The following is a 20269-nucleotide window of genomic DNA, read 5'->3' on the forward strand; positions in this document are numbered from 1 at the left end:
TTTATCTGACTTTTCTTATTGATAATGTCCTGGTCATATTTCAAACATGGAATACCTTAATTTACATTTTTGAATATTCAAACGTATTTATTCTGAAGTCCTTTTGAGAGAGCTTCATTATAACTATTTTGTTGAACTAAGTCCAGTGCCTGTTATTCCAAGTCACCACTGGATTTATTTACTCTTATTAGGTCATGGCCAAATGGCTCTGAAGAATGGTGCCATTTTATGTAGAGCTGCTTACCATTTGAAACCTAAATATAGACATCATATTTGAAAGAAAGGTTTTATTTTCCTCCTTTTCCTTCTACCTAAGCTTGCATTTCCTGCTTGTGATTAGTCTACTGTTTAGCTAATTTGCGCTCTGAAAGTTACTCATATTCCCTTAACTGAATGCTCTGGAACAGCTTATGAAATGATTCATTTCTCTTGTGTCCTTTTGATCACTGATTATTACAGTATTTTTCAAGAAGAGCATTTTCTATTTATTGTTTATATATTTAAAATAACTATTTTAATATATAAATATTATTATTATATAGTTGGGACTATACTGAATAAGGTTTCATATACTTTGTGCAAAATTAATTTAAAAATTTTTCTTGATGTAGAAGATATATTCTAGTGTATAATGCAATGTACTAATAAAATATAGCATGTATATGTATGTGGATATGTGCATGTGAGTTTTTTCAAATCGAATATAGGTAGATCTATATCTAGATGTGTAAATATAATGTCTTTTTTTCTTAAGGGCTCATACACCTGGGTGTTCTGGCATGAACTTTATGGGGATTAACCTCTGTTGGCAAATTGTAGTCCAGTTGATCTCTATTTTCTTAGCAAATTTTTTCTTCTTCTCTTTCTTGTTTGCTTTTTTTTGTTTTTCATTTAGTAAAATGATTTTTCAGTTTCTTTGCTTCTATAAATGGAGTTAATACAAGCTAAATACCATCAGCACATTTGCAAAGAGACTTCATGCAAAAACCAACTTCAGAGAAATAATTCTCTTGCGGGTCCTAAACACGCAGTATACCACAGTTGTGAAAAAGATGAGTAGGGCAAAATCCCCAGAGATTAACACATTCAGCTACTCCTGCAGTTTCTAAATTCTACATCTCCTTTTATTGGTTTGTTTGTTTCTGAGTTTCTTTGAGGTATTCCATATCAAACCTTCTGTTTTTCTTTTATGTCCATCAATTTGTACAAAATATCTATTTTTTTCATTTAATATGTTTTGCATTGTTTCTGTATATTTGTTTCCTGTATACAGTCAAATGATCTAAGAATTTATAATATATTTTTTAGAGGTACTTTGAGTCCTAGCTATTGTTAAAAGCTAGCAGTTGCCTTCACTTAGAATTAGTAAAGTAATTCATGAAGAATAGTTTTGTTATAGAAACTAACACACTATTTTTTCTTAATGTGAACTTTAAAATGTTTTTTTTTATGTAGAGCCCAATTTCTCATTTTGTATAACTCTAATCAGCTTTTCTCATTTTACATTTTATTATTCAGTTGGTAGAAAATTACTTTTATTTTTCATGGCATGCTTTCTGAGAAAGTACTAAATATTCATATAGGTATTGGAAGAAGAATATTATCCATATATATTATAGAACATTCATTAAGATAAAAGAGTTCATCTTTTTTGAGACCTCCATATCATATCTATTTCCTTTAGTATTCACAATGTGAATCTTAATATAATGTATATATTCTCAAAATCATCAAAGAAGCATCTGACAACAAGTTCATGATTATTTGCAAAGCTACAGGATCATAATCCATACAAAAATAAATGTGATTTTTTTTAAGATAGCATTTCCTATCAGTTAATTATTAGAGACAATTGTGATCCAACATTTTGGAACAAATCTGAGGGTTGAAATACTGAAATTATCATAGTTTCTCAGATATTTTTCTAGATTTATAAAGGAAGTAACTGTGTTGATTTTTCTTCATGCAGAAAACACAAATGAGTACTATGCCATTTTAATACTTAGCTGAAATTAGTATTATATAGGTCAAGTCATTCATTGAACAAATATTTATTAACTATCCACTTGCGCTAGGCAATATTTTAGGTGTGTGGGATCTATCAATAAAAATGTAGAAAAATCTCTGCTGCTGTGCAGTTTATATACTAATGGGAAGCAGAAGAAAATAAATCACATATGTAGCACTAAATATGCCAGATATTGCTCTAGAAACATTTATACCAATACTTCATTTAATTCTCACAAAAATCTTGTGAGGTAGATGAGAAAGAGAGCATGGGCATTTTTTCAAACATTTAATAGAAGTTATACATACTGCTATAGAATGTCACATGATAGCTGGGCCTCTCTTTCTTCTCTCTCCCAAAGTGTGCTGTGTCTGAACTTACGTTTTTGCACACATGCTAAGATTTCTGTCATATTGAAAAGGACCTTCAAATGCAAACCAGCTACTTTGATACTTTCTTAATCGAGAGTTTCTTAAAAATCAATTCCAATTGATTACAGCAATTTTTACAAAAGTGTGGTAAAAAGACTAGATTTGGAATATAAGATCATTTTTGTGGAAACAGGCATTTTTATTTTAACAACTAATTAGTATAATTTAACATTGTATTCTACTTTTGGTAGTTGAAAATGTTTTCTGATTATTATTTAAATTACCTACTTGATTTTAAGTGACGGGTTTTTGTTAGAAAGATCATTAAACAAAAGCATAGATAAGATGACAAATACAGATGCCCCTTGACTTACCATGAGGTTACATCTCAACAAACCCATCATAAGTTGAAAATACCTTGAGTTGAAAATGCATCTAAGACACTTAAGCTCCTGAACATTCTAGCTTAGCCTAGTCTACCTTAAACCTGTTTGAGCAACTTACGTTAGCCTACATTTGGACAAAATCATCTAGCGCAAAGCCTGTCTTATAATAAAGAGTTGAATATCTTATGTAATTTATTGAATGCTGAACTGAAGGGGAAAAAGGAATGAATGTATCGGTACTCAAAATATGGTTTCTACTGAATGCATATCGTTTTCACACCATTGCAAAGTGAAAACATTGTAAGATGAATCTTTATGAGTCGGGGAACAATCTGTACACTTTTAAATTGCACTATTAACCACTGTAATTTTGAGTTTATATATGCAAGTCTATATACATAAAATAGATTTTCTTTACATCATCATTCTGTTATTATTTAATTCTTTTGACATGGATTAAAATTAAATAATCTATTTTTTTAATTTAATAAAAATATGATTAAGTTCTATTTTTAAATTTATTCCAAGGATAACAGACTTTTATACGTTTGGAACAAAAGAAAAGTGGTACATATTGAGCAAAATTACCCACTGAAATCTTTCTGTAACCCAAATCACTAATACTCAAAGTAAATAATATCTTTCAGTGTAACTGGATAATCAACAGTTTTAACTTTCTAAACTCAAGAACTTGCTGTTATGAAAAGCCCCTACTTCACTAATGTTGGATATACTTAATCCAGTCTCGTTTGACTCACTAGAAATTGTTTCTGTGAACTATATAATAGCAGTGTTCACCTCAAACAAATATACAGCATTAGAAACAAGAAATCTAGTGCATCAAAAGGCGAAGGCTAGAAAAGTGAAGAATAACTAGAAATTAAGCTGGGGCCAAAGGGTGAGAGTAAGGAACCAGACAGGGTGTGTTTGCTAGTCATGAAACCTGAGAGAACCTTTCTTCAAAACGGGCTCAGTCCTTGGTTGTGGCATTGATGTGGCTCTTTGCTGTGCTTAGTGATGATGATGATGATGATGATGATGATGAAGATGATGAAGATGATGATGATAAAATACCCAAGGTCCTAAATTAATATCTTGCACAATAACTCTGTGAAAAGACAGTTAAGCAAAGGAAAACAAAACAAACAGCATATCTAACCATGTCGAGTAATTTTACACTTTAATTCTTAGTTTTCACAAGGTGTTTTCACTCTCATTCTTAAGCGGGTAAACACATTTTCAGAACAAGGAAAGATGATGCCTCATACCCCATGTTTCCTTAGCTGACACTATTCCAGTTTGTTGTTCACTCCAAGGACATGGAACAAAGACAGGTTTCATGTTGATTCAAAAACAGCTCTGTCTTTTGACAACCCCTTGTGGAGATCAATTAGATCCATCTGTGTCAAGTGGGCCGACTGCGACTCATTAGAACTAAGACTTGGTATACTACTTTATTTCATATAAAGTAGCACTTGTCAGATACTAGCTACTGTGACATAAAATGTACAAAATAAAAAACACACTTACAGCAGGAGAATTTCTTTCATGTTAACCTTTCTCTGTTCCTCACACCAGGGTCTTGACTGTAACAATTTTCTTGAATTTGGAACGTGTATCTTTACCTAATAATGTTTTTTACTTAGGAAATTTTTGATTTTTCTAGTTCTTAAGTATTGCCTTAAAATCATGTTTTTCTTAATATTTTGGCCTCATCATTCTTTTATGTCTTCAAAATACAACAAACAGTAAATTAAACAACATAGCATGTTCTCTACTCTAGATACATAGTTTCTCTATGTAAATTCTTATTTATTGACCTGCAGAGAGTTTTAATTAATCTTCATTTACCTTTTAATTATTTTTGTTGCAACCTTCAATTTTTTTTCAATAACTGTTCACATTTAAAAAAGACCTGTAAATCTATTCACCAGGCATCTTCTACTTTTCTAATTATCAACAGAACATCCTAGGGCTTCAGAAATAAAAGACTGATAAATAATGTTAGGTTAATACATAATAATTACCAAGGCAGCAGATTTTGGAGAATACCTAACAAATATTTGAATGTATATGTGGATGTGTGTGTGTGTGTGTGTGTGTGTGTGTGTGTCTGCATATAGCCCTATAAACCATATATGGTTTTCTGGAACTTAACTGGAAGTGAATCATGTTGTAATATGGAAATGTAAAATAATAGTTTGAATTCAGTGAGTAAATTGGTTAGCATTCAGCCTGAAATGTACGGGTGCTCAGTAATTGTTATACTTATTTCTTTTTAAAAGACAGATGAGCTTTTTTAGAGTTCTCTCCTGATTACTGATTCTCTTCAAGAATAAAAGCATTTGTTATGGACTGGATGTTTATGTTTCCCCAAAATTCATATGTTGAAATCCTAATGTCCAATGTATGATATATGGATAGGCTTTGTGGGGGTAAGGAGGTCATGAGGGTGGAGTCCTCATAAATAGGATTAGTGCCCTTCTAACCAAGACCCAGACAGCTCTCTTTCTCTTTCTGCTGTGTGGATACAAAGACATGACTTTCTGCTGAATAGAAACCAGGCCTTTATTAGACAATGGATCTCTTGGCACATTGAACATAACCTTTCCAGCTTTCAGAAACAAGAGACATATATGTTTTTTGCTGAAGCCACTCCATCAACGGTAATTTGTTATAGCAGCCTTAAGTGACTAAGACAGACATTGGTACCAAACGGTGGGGGTGCAGCTATAAAAAATACCTAAAAATGTAGAAGTGGCTCTGAAACTGAGTAAGGGGTACAGGCTGGAAGAGTTTTGAAGTGCTAAAATTATGAATGTTCAAGGATATTCTGTTAAAGGTTCAGAAAGAAAAGAGAACTGTAGAGAAAGATTCTGTCCTCCCAAATAACAACTCAACAGTCATAAACAGAATGTTGGTAGATATATGGACAGTAAAAGCCATTCTGATATGTTAACAGAGAGAAATAAAGACATGTTATTAGAAACTAGAGGAAAGGTCAGTAAGTGGCAAAGAAGTTAGGTGGATGGTGTTCATGGTCTAGTATTTTGTGGAAAGAAGGACTTTTGAGTGATGAAATTATTAGATATTTAGCTGAGGAGATTTTTAAGCAAAGTGTTAAAGGAGTAGCTTGGTTCCTCACAACTGCTTGCAGTAAAATGTGAAATAAAAGAAATGAAATAAAGATGAATTTTTTAAGTAAAAAGAAACCAAAGCTTAAGGACTTGGAAATATCTCAGCCCCGTCCGTGTTCCAAAATAATGAGAAAGTGTGTTTAGAAGAGAACATTAAGGGTTGATAGATTGATTACTTAATAAGAAGATTTGTATAGGTGTGAACCAGAACTTCATCTGCTATTTCAAAAAAAGCCAGGAAAACAGATGAGATTATAATAGCAGAAACACTGCCAGCTGGTACTAAAGAAAACAGAAATGTGGTAAAATGAAAGAAGATCATCAAACTTCTTCAGCTCTGTTAAATAGCATCACATAGCTCTTCAGCTATGAGCATTCATAATTCTCCAAATCGAGGGAAGAATTCCAAATCACCCCAACAGTGATTTGATGTCACCAGGCTTGTGGAATGGCTGCTTCCATAATGATTTTAAACATTGGGATCAATGCCTAGAAGACACACTGGGGTAGGGTCGCTCAGTGGAGCCCTGAGAGTGTGACCACTGCACATGAGTGAGGACACTGCAGAGAACCACAGCATGGGTGGTGTCCCTCCGAGTGGTGGAGGTTATATTGCCACCCTAGTGAGTCCAAAAGTGGGACATCCATTCTAGTGGGCCTGAGAGGTGAAGAATAGAGCTAGAGAAGGATTATGTTTGAGACTAAGGTTTAATGGAGTTTCCCCTGTTAGGTTTTGGACTTACATTGGACCTCTCACCCCTCTCTTCTTTCCTCTTTCTACATCTTGGAATAGGAATATCTTCACCATTGTATTTTGGAAACACATAATTTATTTGGTTTCACAGCTGGAGATTCACAGCTGGAGAGGAATTTGGCCTCGGGATGAATTGTACCTTTTGTCTCACATTTGTTTGGCTTAGATGATATTTAGATGACACTTTGGATTTTAATTAATATTAGAAGAAGTTGAGACTTTGGGGGCCCTTAGGATGTCTGCATTTTGCATGTAAGAAAGACATAAATTTGGGGTGGGCAGAATTGGAATCTTATGAGATGATATGTATCCCCCCAAAATTCACATCTTGCAATCCTAAACCTCAATGTGATAGTATTAAAAGATGGGGCATTTGGGAGGTAATTAGTTGATCCGGATGGAGCCCTCATGAAGTTATTTTTACCATTACAAAAGGGACTCTAGAGAGAGCTCTCTTTCTCTTTCTCCAGTGTCTGGAAACAAGGAGAAGATGACCACCTGCTGAAAAGAAAGCCGGTCTTCACCAGACGCTGGATCTGCTGGTCGCTTGATCTTGGACTGTCTAGCCTCCAGAACTGTGTTTGTTACTTAAGTCATCCAGTGATATGGTTTGGCTCTGGGTTCCAATCAAAATCTCATTTAGAATTGTAATCCCTACATGTTGAAGGAGGGTCCTTGTGGGAGGTGATTGGCTCATGGGAGTGGGGGTGGTTCCCCCATGCTTTGCTCATGATAGTGAGTGAGTTCTTACAAAATCTGATTGTTTCATAAGTTGTTTGACTGTTCCTCCTTCACACGTTGTGTCTTGCCTGCTGCCATGTAAGATGCGCCTGCTTCTCCTTCCGCCATGATTGTAAGTTTCCTGAGGCCTCCCCAGGCATGTGGAACTGTGAATCGATTAAACCTCTTTACTTTATAGATTACCCAGTCTCAGGGTGGTTCTTTATAGTAGTGTGAAAACGAACTAATACATCCAGTATGTGTTAATGGATGGTAGCAGCTAGAACTGACTGAGGTAGTATTCATGTAATTATAGGTGATGGATTCAGATAAATCCAAAGAGCAAGTTACGTATGCTGTCAAGCCATTTCCTGAGATGTCACTATATGCAATTACTGTGTTAAGGATACTACTGAACACTTGATCCATTGTTTTAATCTTTACTTGTCACATAGTGTAAAATCTTACAAGATATCTGTCTGTTGTATGTCAATAGAATAAAGTGTTTTTGCTTTAAAAACCTACTTAATATTTTCTTATTTTGGTTCTTGCATAGTAAGCTTCTTTCGGGACAGAAGATTCAGGAACAAATCTCATACTTGTCTTTTAATTGGTTTCTCAACAGCTGTAGGCACGCGGCAGAAAATTCAAGCATACAATAGAACGAATGGGAAATAAAGTCTCAAAACATACTGCTGGGTCAATGCATAAATGAGGAAAAGGGAAATTGTATTATGTCTTGATAGTACTAGTGGACTTTATGTGTTGAGAGAGAGTGACAGTGGGAGAGAGATGAGCAGGAAGCAGCTTCTTGCAAAGCATTTGCTTTGAGCAATTCCATAAATTCATTTTACTCTAGGACTGACTCTAACTGTGTCTCTACTCATTTCACCTCAACAACAGTAGACAAGTTTGTTACACTGGAAAAAATGACATGCAAATTGCAATAACTTTTTCAAACACTAACTTTGGGTAAGGGGTCAGAAATTTTAGAGTAATTATAAAATGTATTAATGTCTATTATACTCTAGGCACTTTCAAAGTATCTTAATATTACTAATTATGAGAATCATTCTCTAAAAGGTTATGTTATTAAATCCCGTTTATACATGAAGAGTTGAGATTTGTTACCTTGAGTGACATGAGAATCAGACCTCTATTGGTTATAACACCACTAGTAAACACTGCTGCAATAGTTGATAATATGTTTTCCCCCCAATCCTATAACATTTCCTCTATTCTTATGTAAAGTCATTATGTTTTCAAGCATCATATTCTATAATTAAATCATCATGCAGTTTTGGACAGAGAATTGGTTCTCTGGTTTTTGTTCTTGTTTTGTTTTGTTTTCCTGAAACATAGAAAAAAAATGTTTCTTTTTCTCACCTAACAGCACTGCTGCCTACATCCAGGTCTTGAGCAGTGACAGCGCCAATGATGGTCCCTACCGGAGTGTCTTCATAAACCTCCATGGTGTAGAGCGGCTTGCTGAAAACCGGTGGCTCATCTACGTCCAGCACGCTGATCTTCACCGTAGCTGTGTCTTTGAAAGGGCCCGCCGAGTGAAACCGGTGGTCAAGGTGAAGGTTGGAAGCCTCAACTTTGAAAGTGTATGCCTTCTTTGTTTCAAAATCTAAAGGCTGTAGTGAGGACAAATTAAGAATAAGGAGTAAATTTATATAGAATGTGGCAGAAATGGTGAACATTACTTCAGAGCAATTTGCAAGTTATTATCAATTATACTGGTTTAAAATTTTCATTTTTCTTAATAACTAGTGGGTAAGGGCAGCACAAGGCAAACCATTTTTTTTTCTTTTTTTTTTTTTTTTGAGACAGAGTCTCTCCCTCTCTCCCAGGCTGGAGCTCAGTGGTGTGATCTCGGCTCACTGCAACCTCCACCTCTGGGGTTCAAGCGGTTCTCCTGCCTCAGCTTCCGGAGGATCTGGGACTACAGGCGCCCGCCACCATGCCTGGCTAATTTTTGTATTTTAAGTAGAGACGGGGTTTCAACATGTTGGCCAGGCTGGTCTCGGATTCCTGACCTCAGGTGATCCACCCACCTCGGCCTCCCAAAGGACTGGGATTACAGAAGCAAGGTAAACATTTTAAGAAAAGAATCACGTCCATGTAGAAGTTTCTGGGTAACTTGTAAAGATCATCAGTTGCCTATGTTTGAAAAACTCATCATTTACGTGCAGACATACATGCTAGGTAGGGCTTAATCATTTTATATGAGCAAAGTTAAAACAGCAACAGAACAGATGTTCAGGGAAGCATTTCTCTGCTCTTATCCAATACTGACATCTAGTGGAACAAAGCAATGATAAACAAAAAAATGAATAAAAATGAAATAGGATCATTGAAGATACTCTAGATTCTAGCTGTAAATTTGGTATTGAAAAAGTGGTCCCATGAAAACTCCATATTTTGTTGTCTTATTTTATGGCATCTTATATTAAATACTTTTGGATGTCTAGATCTTTTTTTATTTTTTTTACTAGTAAATGTCTGTATCAGTATTTAAAAGCATACATAGTACTAATTTAAAAAGAATTTTTGTGTGTGTGTGTTCTCAGAACTGTATATATAAATTATGGGCGCGGTAACACATCATCAATACACATTACCAAGAATTGTGGCTTTATATATTAATATATATGACTAAATTAGAGAAGGCTGTGAAACATAATATAGAAAGTCATTTTCTATGGAGTCACGGATGCTCAGTTTTAGCTTATCGCTGCTTACTTGCACCCTCACTCTAAATATTAATTTTATGTCCACAATAACTGAAAATACACTATTCCTGAAATATGGTGCTGCTGTGGTGCTTTGTTTAAGTGATAATTTTAAGGTCAATGGCTCTGGCCTCTGATCATCTAAGAAAATCTGAGACAACACGAATTTAACATTAACATGGTGATTTTCTGGGACCTTTAAAAATTTATGTTTTCTAAAGGAATTCCTTCAAGTCTGACCCCAGTAAGTTGCTAATTGCTGTGTCAGTACCTGTTCCTTTACTGTAGTACACCTGGGGAAAATAAAGGAAGGATGGATATTTTTCTCCTTCTAAGATATGATTGCCATTTTATGCATTTCCTCTGAGGAACAAAAACAAAAACAAAAAAACACTTTTAAATCTTCGAAAACTCACAATTTCATGGAATTTATTATAACAAAACAGCAATTTCACTTGAATATGACATCAGTCTCTTTCACCATACTTTTTTATGCAGCAGGAACTATATTTATTAATTCCCTATAGGTATTCCTTTTATCATATTTTTATTTATGTGTTTATCTGCTTTGTAATCAATGTTTTCTTTTTACTTTTCTATATTTTAATTTGCTAACCTCATACCTGTTAACTTATAATATTGATTTCCTTTCATTTTCATATTTCTCCTGTTAGAAATTTTGATTTCTCTTAATACCTATATAAGCAAAGAATAGTATGCATAATATGCGATGGTTGATAATGTGGCCTTTGATGACATGAATAGAAGTGTAGTATCTGAAAAAAAGAGAGAGGATCACCCAGTGATGTTCCTTTGATCAGCCTAAAGCTTGAATACTGTGTTTTGTTGAAGAAATCAGACTCAAGAAAAGACAACTTATTGCAAGACTAGAATGATAAAATATTACCAAAGCCAAAAATGAGAAACCACTACAATTACTGCCAAGGCAAGGAAAGACACACATTTTCAAATACTTGAAGGGCCATTATGTTGACATTACTTAGGATTATTCTTTATGCCTCTGAGTGGTGAATTAATAGTAATTTGAGTTATTAACGAGAGTAAATTTAGATTAGAAAAAAGAGAAAACCTCTAATAAATAAAATCATTCTATAGTGAATTAAAACACACACACACACACACACACACACACACACACACACACACACACACACATAGATGTTTTACGTGGTGGCAAGGCTTGACATGCATCCTGTAAGGATGGAAAGATGAAAAGACAAGACTTGCCTCTCAATTCATTCAACAAATTACAGAATATTGCCATCTTGCTTAATGAGTGAGTTTGAAGAAGTACCAAGTTCTCTATAATTACATGTGTTTAAGAGATATTCAATATGTTAGAAGATATCGGAGAGAGAATGATGTGTAAGATAGAAGCGTGCACTAGCTAATTCAAATTAAGGAACATATAAAAATATGTTTTCTGTTTTTCCAAACTCTAAATGCTCTATAAATGTTAAACAATATAAGTGGTCTATGTTAGGTATCCTTAACTTGTAGTATAAGACTACTTTGATTTTTATCACCTTAGGGTTCCTTTTGCCTAGAAAGCAAATTGAGCTGACCTGGCTCATACTTACTCCCTTTCTTAGGCAAAAATTAACTTCTATCTTAGAATGTAAACGTTTGTACCAATCATTCCCCATTTCCCTCTCTACTTTCTCATATGTTGAAGTACTTCTAATTATCTATATGATTTGGCAAATTCTTTCTAGATAAGATCTTAATTTTTTTTCCCTACTTGATTACACACTACTGTTATCTAGATAATCTTGACTCTCTACAGGTAACTCCTTTTCAAGCCAGACATGAAAGGAGAATTTTGAAACCTTTAAAAGAGATGAGATGTATTCCATGCCTTTTAAGGACCCCTGACCTATAACAGCAGGCAAATATCTGGTTGTTAGGGAGACAGAGTAAGATAAAAGAATCCTGTACATACAGATTTTTTGCAACTGAAAACTTATAGCCTGTAGTGATCAAAGAACTAAAGAAAATTGTAAGAGAAATGCCACCATAGTCTCCTAGGTGGACTTACTTCTTCGTGACCCTGACTTTTAGGCAATCCCACTTGACAAAATGGTATATAGCTCAGAAAGGGCAAAGAGAACCAGCAGTGATCTGTCTTTAATTGAATTTACCTACACATCTGACTGACTACCCTCCATTTTTGGGGGGAATGAACTTTAGTTTCACAATCAATAAAAATCCCAGCATTTGAAATAAATATAGAATAAATAGGATTAGTTTCAGTGCTAGAAAATAAATCATATTCTATGATAGACATACATTATTGTGAGGTTGAACTAATTTATCTCTTGCACAATAAATAGAGAACTTTGTGGCATGGCTTGGAGCCCATTTAATGGTTATGAACCTCTCAAAGGGGAAGAAATGATTGACTAAAGAGAATTTAGTTGAGCAGCTTCTTTCTCTTTAGGTTGTTTCTATAAGGGAAGACTAGTGGCACCAGAATGTTCAGGAAACAATTCATCTAATTGAGTTGTGCAGTAAGAACCACAACTATAGAGAAATGAAATATGATATACTCAATTGTTCTACAGAGACTCAAGGGAGGAATTGGGGAAGGGGGGAATTTTGCTTCTTTGTTTTTTGCCACTGAAGGAAATAAAAAATATTTTACCCCCCAAGATATTTCTCTGATGTATTTTGAAATGTCTGCCACAGGGCCAGAAAATATAAGTGGCCTTGCAAAGCTATCTTTTGTGGGAGAAAAATTGCATCTGTAAGGAATTCCCATTAACGTGGGCAGGTCTTTTCTATGCCTTTCCCAGACCTAGGAGCCAATGAGAGCCTGACAATTTTAAAAGTCTGAAAATAAATAACTATCATCTATTTTCTCTGAGGGAGGTTTCATTTACATAACAAGTGGCTTTGGTAGCCAAGCCACTTCCTTTCTCCCTCTCATAACCTTTCTTGCCACTAAACGTGATTTACCAAGACAACCTGGTTTTGTCCATGCTCTGGGCCACCATTCTTTCTGTAACCTTGAGATGGTGATTAGATTCTGTAACTTATTGGGAAATTGGGTCTTCATTCTGAAGGCACCTGTATATACACGTTAAATAATTTGTTTGCCTTTTCTCCTATTAATCAATCTCCCTCATGTCAGTAATTTTTCAGCAAACCTTTTGTGGCCCAAGAGCCTATATCTCCCACACTGAAAACACCTTTGCAAAGATTATGACAGTGAGGGAAGTCTAGCATGGCGGACTCCATCTTGCTTCTAGCCTCACAGGCTGGCAGTCTTGGCTCATTCCCCAGCATAGCCCAAGCTAACTATGGAATTTAGTTTATACTTTAACTTTGAACCAAGGATGATAGTAGTCCCTCCCTATAACTGATGCCCTCCTTGGTCCTGGGCCAAAACCATGTTTGCAAAACTAAAGAAAGTCCACAAGATTAGGATTATGATAGTGGCCTGAATTCTGCTAAAACATAGGTAGTTTCTATAGTCTCTTACTGCTCACAAATCATGTGAACAGAGGTCACAAGATTTGTAACTTCCCTAATTGCTCCTACAGATAACATCACCATTGCAGAATCTAAGATTGGTCTTTTGAGATGTTTTTCACTCTAACCCCACCCAGATTTGTGGCATATGTCTCAACCAGTCCTATGGCTCCCTGCCCAGAGATGGACTCAGCATGGGGGGGACTGTATTTTACACCCTTATGATGACATCCCCAACGAATCAGCAGCACCCATTTGCTAGTCCCTTGCCCACCAAACTATCCTTGGAAAACCTTAACCTCTGGGCCTTCAGGGAGACTGACCTGAGTAACAACTCTGTCTTCCACATGGCTAGCCTGGTGTCAGATAAGCTCTTTACTGCAGTACCATGGTCTCAGAGAATTGGTTTTGTCTGTGCAATGGGCAGGAAGAGCCCATTGGGCTATTACAGCACTACTTTCTCTGTTCTTACATTGCTGAAGTCCAGGTCACAAAAAACTAAATGAAATGTTAAGTGCCAAAAGATTTTCTCATTTCAAAGGGAAATAAGCAATTTTTTGGCATAAATTATAAGAGAATAGCTACCTGGGCTCTTCCAGGGCTCCTCATGCTTCCAGATAATGTTGAGTGGAAATGGATAGCTATGGTTATAGATATTTTGAGGAATTTGAAAAAATGATAGCTTCAGCAGGCAGAATTCTAAGATGCTCCCAATATTCCTGCCCCCAATGACCTATACTCTGTGTGCAATGACTCTGCCATTCATTGTGTGAGAGGCCTGTAAATTAAATGACATCTCACTCACATAAACTTATTAAGTTTAATGGAAAAATAAGTTGTGCATATATAATTAGGGTCCCTAATCACTTGACATTGAGTTAATTAAGGAGATTTTACTTGAGAGGTGTGATCTAACCAGGAGACCCCTTAAAAGAAAGGAGTGATGCAGATGCTTTTCGTCCTGCCTTATAAGAAGTAAATTTGTCATTATAGGAGATTATGTGGCAAGTGGCAAGTGCTCAAGGGGTGCCTGTGGGAACTGAAACCTGATATTTGGCGAGAGCTAACAACATTGTCATAGGAGCCACAAGGAAGTAGTAACTACCACAAAAACAAAACAAACACACAACAACAATACAAAACAAACAGCCACGAGGAACTGGCTCTGCTAGGAACCAGTAAGGTTACAAAAGACTCCAAGGCTTAGATTGGATCATAGCCCCAATCACGCCTTGATTTCCTCCCAAAAGGCCCTGAGCAAAGGAACCAGTTATGCCATATTATGACTCACTGTAGCCGTGGTTTTGTCCCTTTTTACTTTTTACTCTTCTGTATTACTTCAATTTTTATAGTAAGCCTATATTATTTTTACCAACACAGTAAAGCCATCACTTTTAGGAAAATATATCCTTGAGTGATAAGGCTCTACACTCTCAATTATCTAGTAGGTCTTAATAGGCAATGGGAAGGAATACCGTCAATGAACGCAAATGATCCGAGGATGTAGGCTTATCTGAAACAGACTAGATTCTTTCTAAGACAAGCAGTTAGAAAACAGATTTATACCAGGCTGAACCAGGATGCACAGACACTAGGAGCAAGCTCTTATAAATAGGTTTATTACACTAGGCTGAACAATAAAGATAAGATGTTCAGAACAAGCATCATTTTAATGAAAAAGCAGGTTTCCTAAAACTCAGTTTTATGATCAATATAGTAGTCAATTCTTGTCTGGGAAGAGACGTGGGAGAGTTTATGCATATCTCATCATCATTGACAAAAGGTTGCAACTCAATATTTTATATAAAAAAGCTGTATTTGATGAACAAAAGTTGCCACTATATCAGGTGAGAATGTCCCTGTAACAAAGGGAAAAACAATGAAATGTAGTTAAGTTTTAAAACGTAGATTTTAGTTTGGACAAAATTTCAACACCATTTGTTAGAAAATTAATAATATATAAGCTTATAAGAAACATATAATTACTAGGCAAAAAGTGTTTGTAAACAAAAATATTTAAATGAAGAAACATCCATTTTATATAACTTACCTTAAAAATATTTGTAACAAAACTATTTATTAGAAATGCACTTAATTTTTCTGTGGACAAGTTATTACTATACTTTAGTGTTTTGCAACTCTGCAAAATTTTCGTAGTTTTAACAAATTATCTTAAGAATCATGGTCATTATAGTAATGCCTGTATTTTAGCGGTAATTTTTGGAATAAATTTAGTAACCAAGATAAACAAAAAACAAGCAAACAAAACAAAACAAAAAAGAATTGCAAGAAACTCTAGTGCTTCTAGACATAGGTTTTTAGTGATATTTCCCCTAAAAAATTACAGAGGGTTTCGTCACATACTATAAATGCTGAAATAAAATATATGTGTCATGTCCACATACAGTATAAATCATGACTATTGGGGAGGCCAATTATCTTTTCTAACATGCATTGTTGTACACAACAATTGGAAGTATACTCTTTCTAAACATATACTATGATTTACAGCAAGCTGTGTGACTTTGAAAAATTATCTTCCTTCTTTGAGCTTCAGCTTTCCTATTTGTAGAATCAGTAAAACATATTTTTCTAAATTATTTGCAAAACGTTCCAAACTTTACATGCTATGTGAGTAAAAAGAAAAATAATGCAGCAGAAGTGAAAACAGTAAACCAACAGAAGATATTTGTCCTTTTAGTCGACAACAATTTTAAACATCTTATATATTTCAGGCATTTCCTTTACTGATGGGGAAATAAACACAGATATGGAAAAGTGCCTCCAGGGGCTTAAAATATAGTAGGAGGAATGAGTTGTATTTTCAATATGAGAACCTTGTAAGTATCATAGATGCTTTGACAGAAATGTTGACATTTGGGGACAAAATAAAGGAGTGATCAACTTTGCCTGAGGGACTCTAGGAGGCCTTTGTTGAGAAGCAAGGGAGAAAAAAATGTTAAAGAACATGTAAGAATTCATGAAGATACTTATATGGGACAGGGAGTTCTATGCAGAAGGAGGAGAACCACAATACCATTGGTAGACATCGCAATGATTTTGCTGTACTTGGAATGTAGCTTGTGCATATGAACATGCCTGTAAATGTGTGTGTGTGCAGAAGTTAGTAATAGAAAATGCACTCTTTGATCTTTATCTTTCTATCAGTAGGACCAGAAACTGATTTAAGTAAGATGAACATGTTTCTATCTAAACGTCTAAATAGATTTCTTTCATTCCCCCATGAATAAAAAGATTAGTTGGAGGAAAATAACGTGTGAGGCTGGGAAAATAGCCTTTGCAGTGGCAAAAAGGAGTCAGGAAGAGGGCTGTATGGCAAATTCATAGGTGGAGAAAGGAAAATTTTAACCTGAGTTCTGGAAAAATCAGCAACCAGCCTTTGTGCCCTATTTGGCAAGGGGATGTCAATAGGAATGGAAGCGGTGTTAGAAAAATCACAGATTTTTGCTTTAAGAAACTGGAAAGGAGAAAACATGAGTAGGCAGACTTTTGTTGGGAGCAAAGAAAGAACTCAGCTTTAGACAGTGAATTTGAAAAGTCTATGGCATGTGCAGTTAGAATTGTCTACAAGACTAGAAAAATCTGCAGTGGTTACGTTGATTTAGGGCTAAGTTACAGTTGATGAGACTTTAGGGAAACTAGGTAAGGTATTACAAAAGAAGGTGAAGACAAATATTTAGAAAAACAGAAACATAATATAGAAACAACAGCATTCATGTGTTTTTTCTTTAATTAGGTACATTAGCGTGGCTAAAAATAGCATTATTTTAAACTTAAACTGAGGCATGTATGATTGGCTATGTAAAATATTCCAAATTTTATTATCATTTTGTTCTTAAGAGTTATTCAAAAATTAACCACATGATGGTGCTATGCTACCAAATCATGTGAACTCATTTGTCAAGCGTGAAAAAAGAAAAAGAGTTTTACTGATTTACGGGTAAGTATAAAATATATATATGCTCAGTGGGACCAACTGGCACCTTAGCCGATTTGTTAAAAGGCTCTTTGTGAAGAGTAATATCATTTATCTCATACGTTTTTAAGGAAAAAGAAAAATTCTGCTTTGGATTTAATGTGATCACACAGTTATGTTAATTTGAAATAAACTAATATTGCCAAGTAACATCAAAATGGTAAGCACTGTCTCTAATTCCAAAAAAGGTTTACTTTTAAAAAAACTAAATAGGAAATAACTTCACCACTCTTCATTTTAAACAGTTTCTAAGAGAAAGTTTTGTAGAAATGGTAGAGAACTGTTTGAAAAATTATACAGGATATTAAATTATTATTTTGGATAACAAGTATTCACTTAATTATTTTAATTATTTAAATTTTGCAATCACTTTGGAGAAAATTCAAGTGCTTCTATAACCATATTTAGATTTTGAGTCCTTGAAAACTTTTAATTCGTGTAACTCACTATCCATGTTTACATATAAGAAGTATATATTTTATTCCCATTTATTCAGTAGCAAAAAAAACACTAGTGACTAAACACAAATTTCATTTAGGTTTTCACTAAGAATGAAGCCATTGAATTTTAAAACTCTTATTCTGTCATTGTAAATGTAGCTCACCTCTTAATTTCTAGACAATTTGAATTTTTAAAAAACTTTATTCTGATTTTATTAGTGTTTTATTGCTATAACACCCAACACCATATAGGACAAGCTTTTTTTTTTTTTTACAGTTTTCTCAGAGTGGTAGGATGTGAGGGTGGAATAAAAGCAGTTTTTATTTTGTTTTGTTTTGTTTTGTTTTACCAATATCTTATGCCTTGGAGCAATTTATAAAGCTTCATAATGTTCCTCTGAATTCGAAGTGTCACAGTGAAATGGCATTCTGTCACAGTGAAATGGCATTCTGTCACAGGGCTCATAAAGTGAATCAAAGTTAAGGTTAATAAAATAAATAAAAATGCCTTTCTTCAGTCTTCTCAGTTAATCTAAACCTGACCATCATTTTTGTTTTCTCAAGCCCTCCCTCTATACAGGAAATAGACAGAGGAGAAAATAGTGAAAGAAAAGCAAATAAAAGATTTTGAAGATAAAACAGTAATAACAATATGTACTTCAGATCATTAGTATTTTAATGTATTCTTAAGTGCGTTAAAAAAAGAAAAACTCTGAAAACAAAGCATGTCATGCCTCATTCCTCTATTGCAGCTCAAAATCTGTTAGCTAAAAAATTAAAATAACTGGTGTTTAAAAAAGGACTACATATTCAAATGTAGAATATATATTTGGGACTTTCTAAATGCATTTAGTATACTTAAAATGTAATTTCTGTATGAATCTGATTTTATATCAGAATTCTTGTATTGCAATATTGAAGGGAAAACCTTAACAAATAATTTAAGATCATTCTGGATCTGCAACACTACTGTTGATGTTTACATACACAGTTATTGAGATACACCTAATTCTTTAAGGATTCCTAATGATAATTGCAAGATGAAGTTTTCTGAGAACTTATTGAATATATGCTTGAGTATAGTACTATTTTACAGTCTTTACCCAAAAGCATTCTGTACTTAAAAAATTGTTGTAGTGTTTCAATTGATTTTGAATTTTTATGGGCTTTATTCAATGAGATATTTTCTCACATTTTTATTAAGTCATACTATCATGTTTAATTGAGTAATGCATCTATGTACATGTGTGCATATAAACACAATACACGATACAATATATACAATAGATAGGTGGACAGTTTTTAAGTTTCATTACAAAAATGTCCTCCTGAGTTATTTTTTAAAGATTCAATAGATGTAGGGTGCAGGCTACAATGTTCTTTCTAATAGAACACTAGGTTAGCATAGGGGATTGCCTCTAGTGGATCCATATTTAGAGATGAAAGCAAATTACAACACTGAAAGAAAATCCATGTGTTTTATTAGGCTCTGAAGTCTCAAATGCTTGGTGTAATTTACCAGATGATGATAATATTTATACAAATATGTTTTGGCTGTTCCTTTACAATTTATTTAGAATCTCACAATCTCTCACCATCTCTGTTGCTGTACCATCACGTTCCACATTTCTATCTGTTTCCCGGTTTACTTCTATGGTCTCTTAACTGAGCTATTGCTTTCATTATTTCCTAGTTACTGTTCTCTTAAGACAACCAGAGTCACTTGGGTCTACAAGGGTAAGGCGAGGCCAGGTGTGGTGGCTCATGCCTGTAATCCCAGCACTTTGGGAGGCCAAGGCAGGTGGATCACCTGAGGTCAGGAGTTCAAGACCAGCCTGACAAACATGGTGAAACCCCTTCTCTACTAAAAATACAAAAAATTAGCCAGGCATGTTGGCAGGCACCTGTAATCCCAACTACTTGGGAGGCTGAGGCAGGAGAATCGCTTGAACCTGGGAGACAGAGGTTGCAGTGAGCCGAGATCCCTCCATTGCACTCCAGCCTGGGCAACAAGAGCAAAACTCCATATCAAAATAAATAAATAAATAAAAATAAATAAAAGAGTAAAAGTGATCTAGATCTACACTCACATGGGCTCTCTATATCACGATCTGTTAATAATTCAACATCTTTGCCTGGTCTACAAGGCTCTGCCTGGCGAGCCCGTCATCTCTGGCCAAGGCCCTCTTCCTTCACTTCATTCCAGCCCCACTGGCCTTCTTG

General features: G+C 34.8%; 1 protein-coding gene across 10 annotated transcripts in view, besides 1 other annotated feature; it reads right to left on the minus strand.

Annotated features, from left to right (window-relative positions):
* CDH12 (cadherin 12) overlaps positions 1–20269 on the minus strand; it is a 1102672-nt gene that overhangs the window by 42732 nt on the left and 1039671 nt on the right. For all 10 annotated transcript variants that reach the window (NM_001364104.2, NM_004061.5, NM_001364106.2 and 7 more), the window contains 1 exon segment: positions 8763–9016. In NM_001364104.2, coding sequence (NP_001351033.1) covers positions 8763–9016 — 254 coding nt within the window.
* Positions 19682–19876: a silencer, noted in NCBI's record as "fragment chr5:21813195-21813389 (GRCh37/hg19 assembly coordinates)". NCBI's record gives its function as "represses an EF-1alpha promoter that drives an FKBP-Casp9 reporter gene in an ReSE screen in K562 erythroleukemia cells {active_cell/tissue: K562}" and the evidence as "EXISTENCE:reporter gene assay evidence [ECO:0000049][PMID:32094911]".

This window comes from Homo sapiens, chromosome 5 (assembly GCF_000001405.40).
Source record: "Homo sapiens chromosome 5, GRCh38.p14 Primary Assembly".
Taxonomy (NCBI): domain Eukaryota; kingdom Metazoa; phylum Chordata; class Mammalia; order Primates; family Hominidae; genus Homo; species Homo sapiens.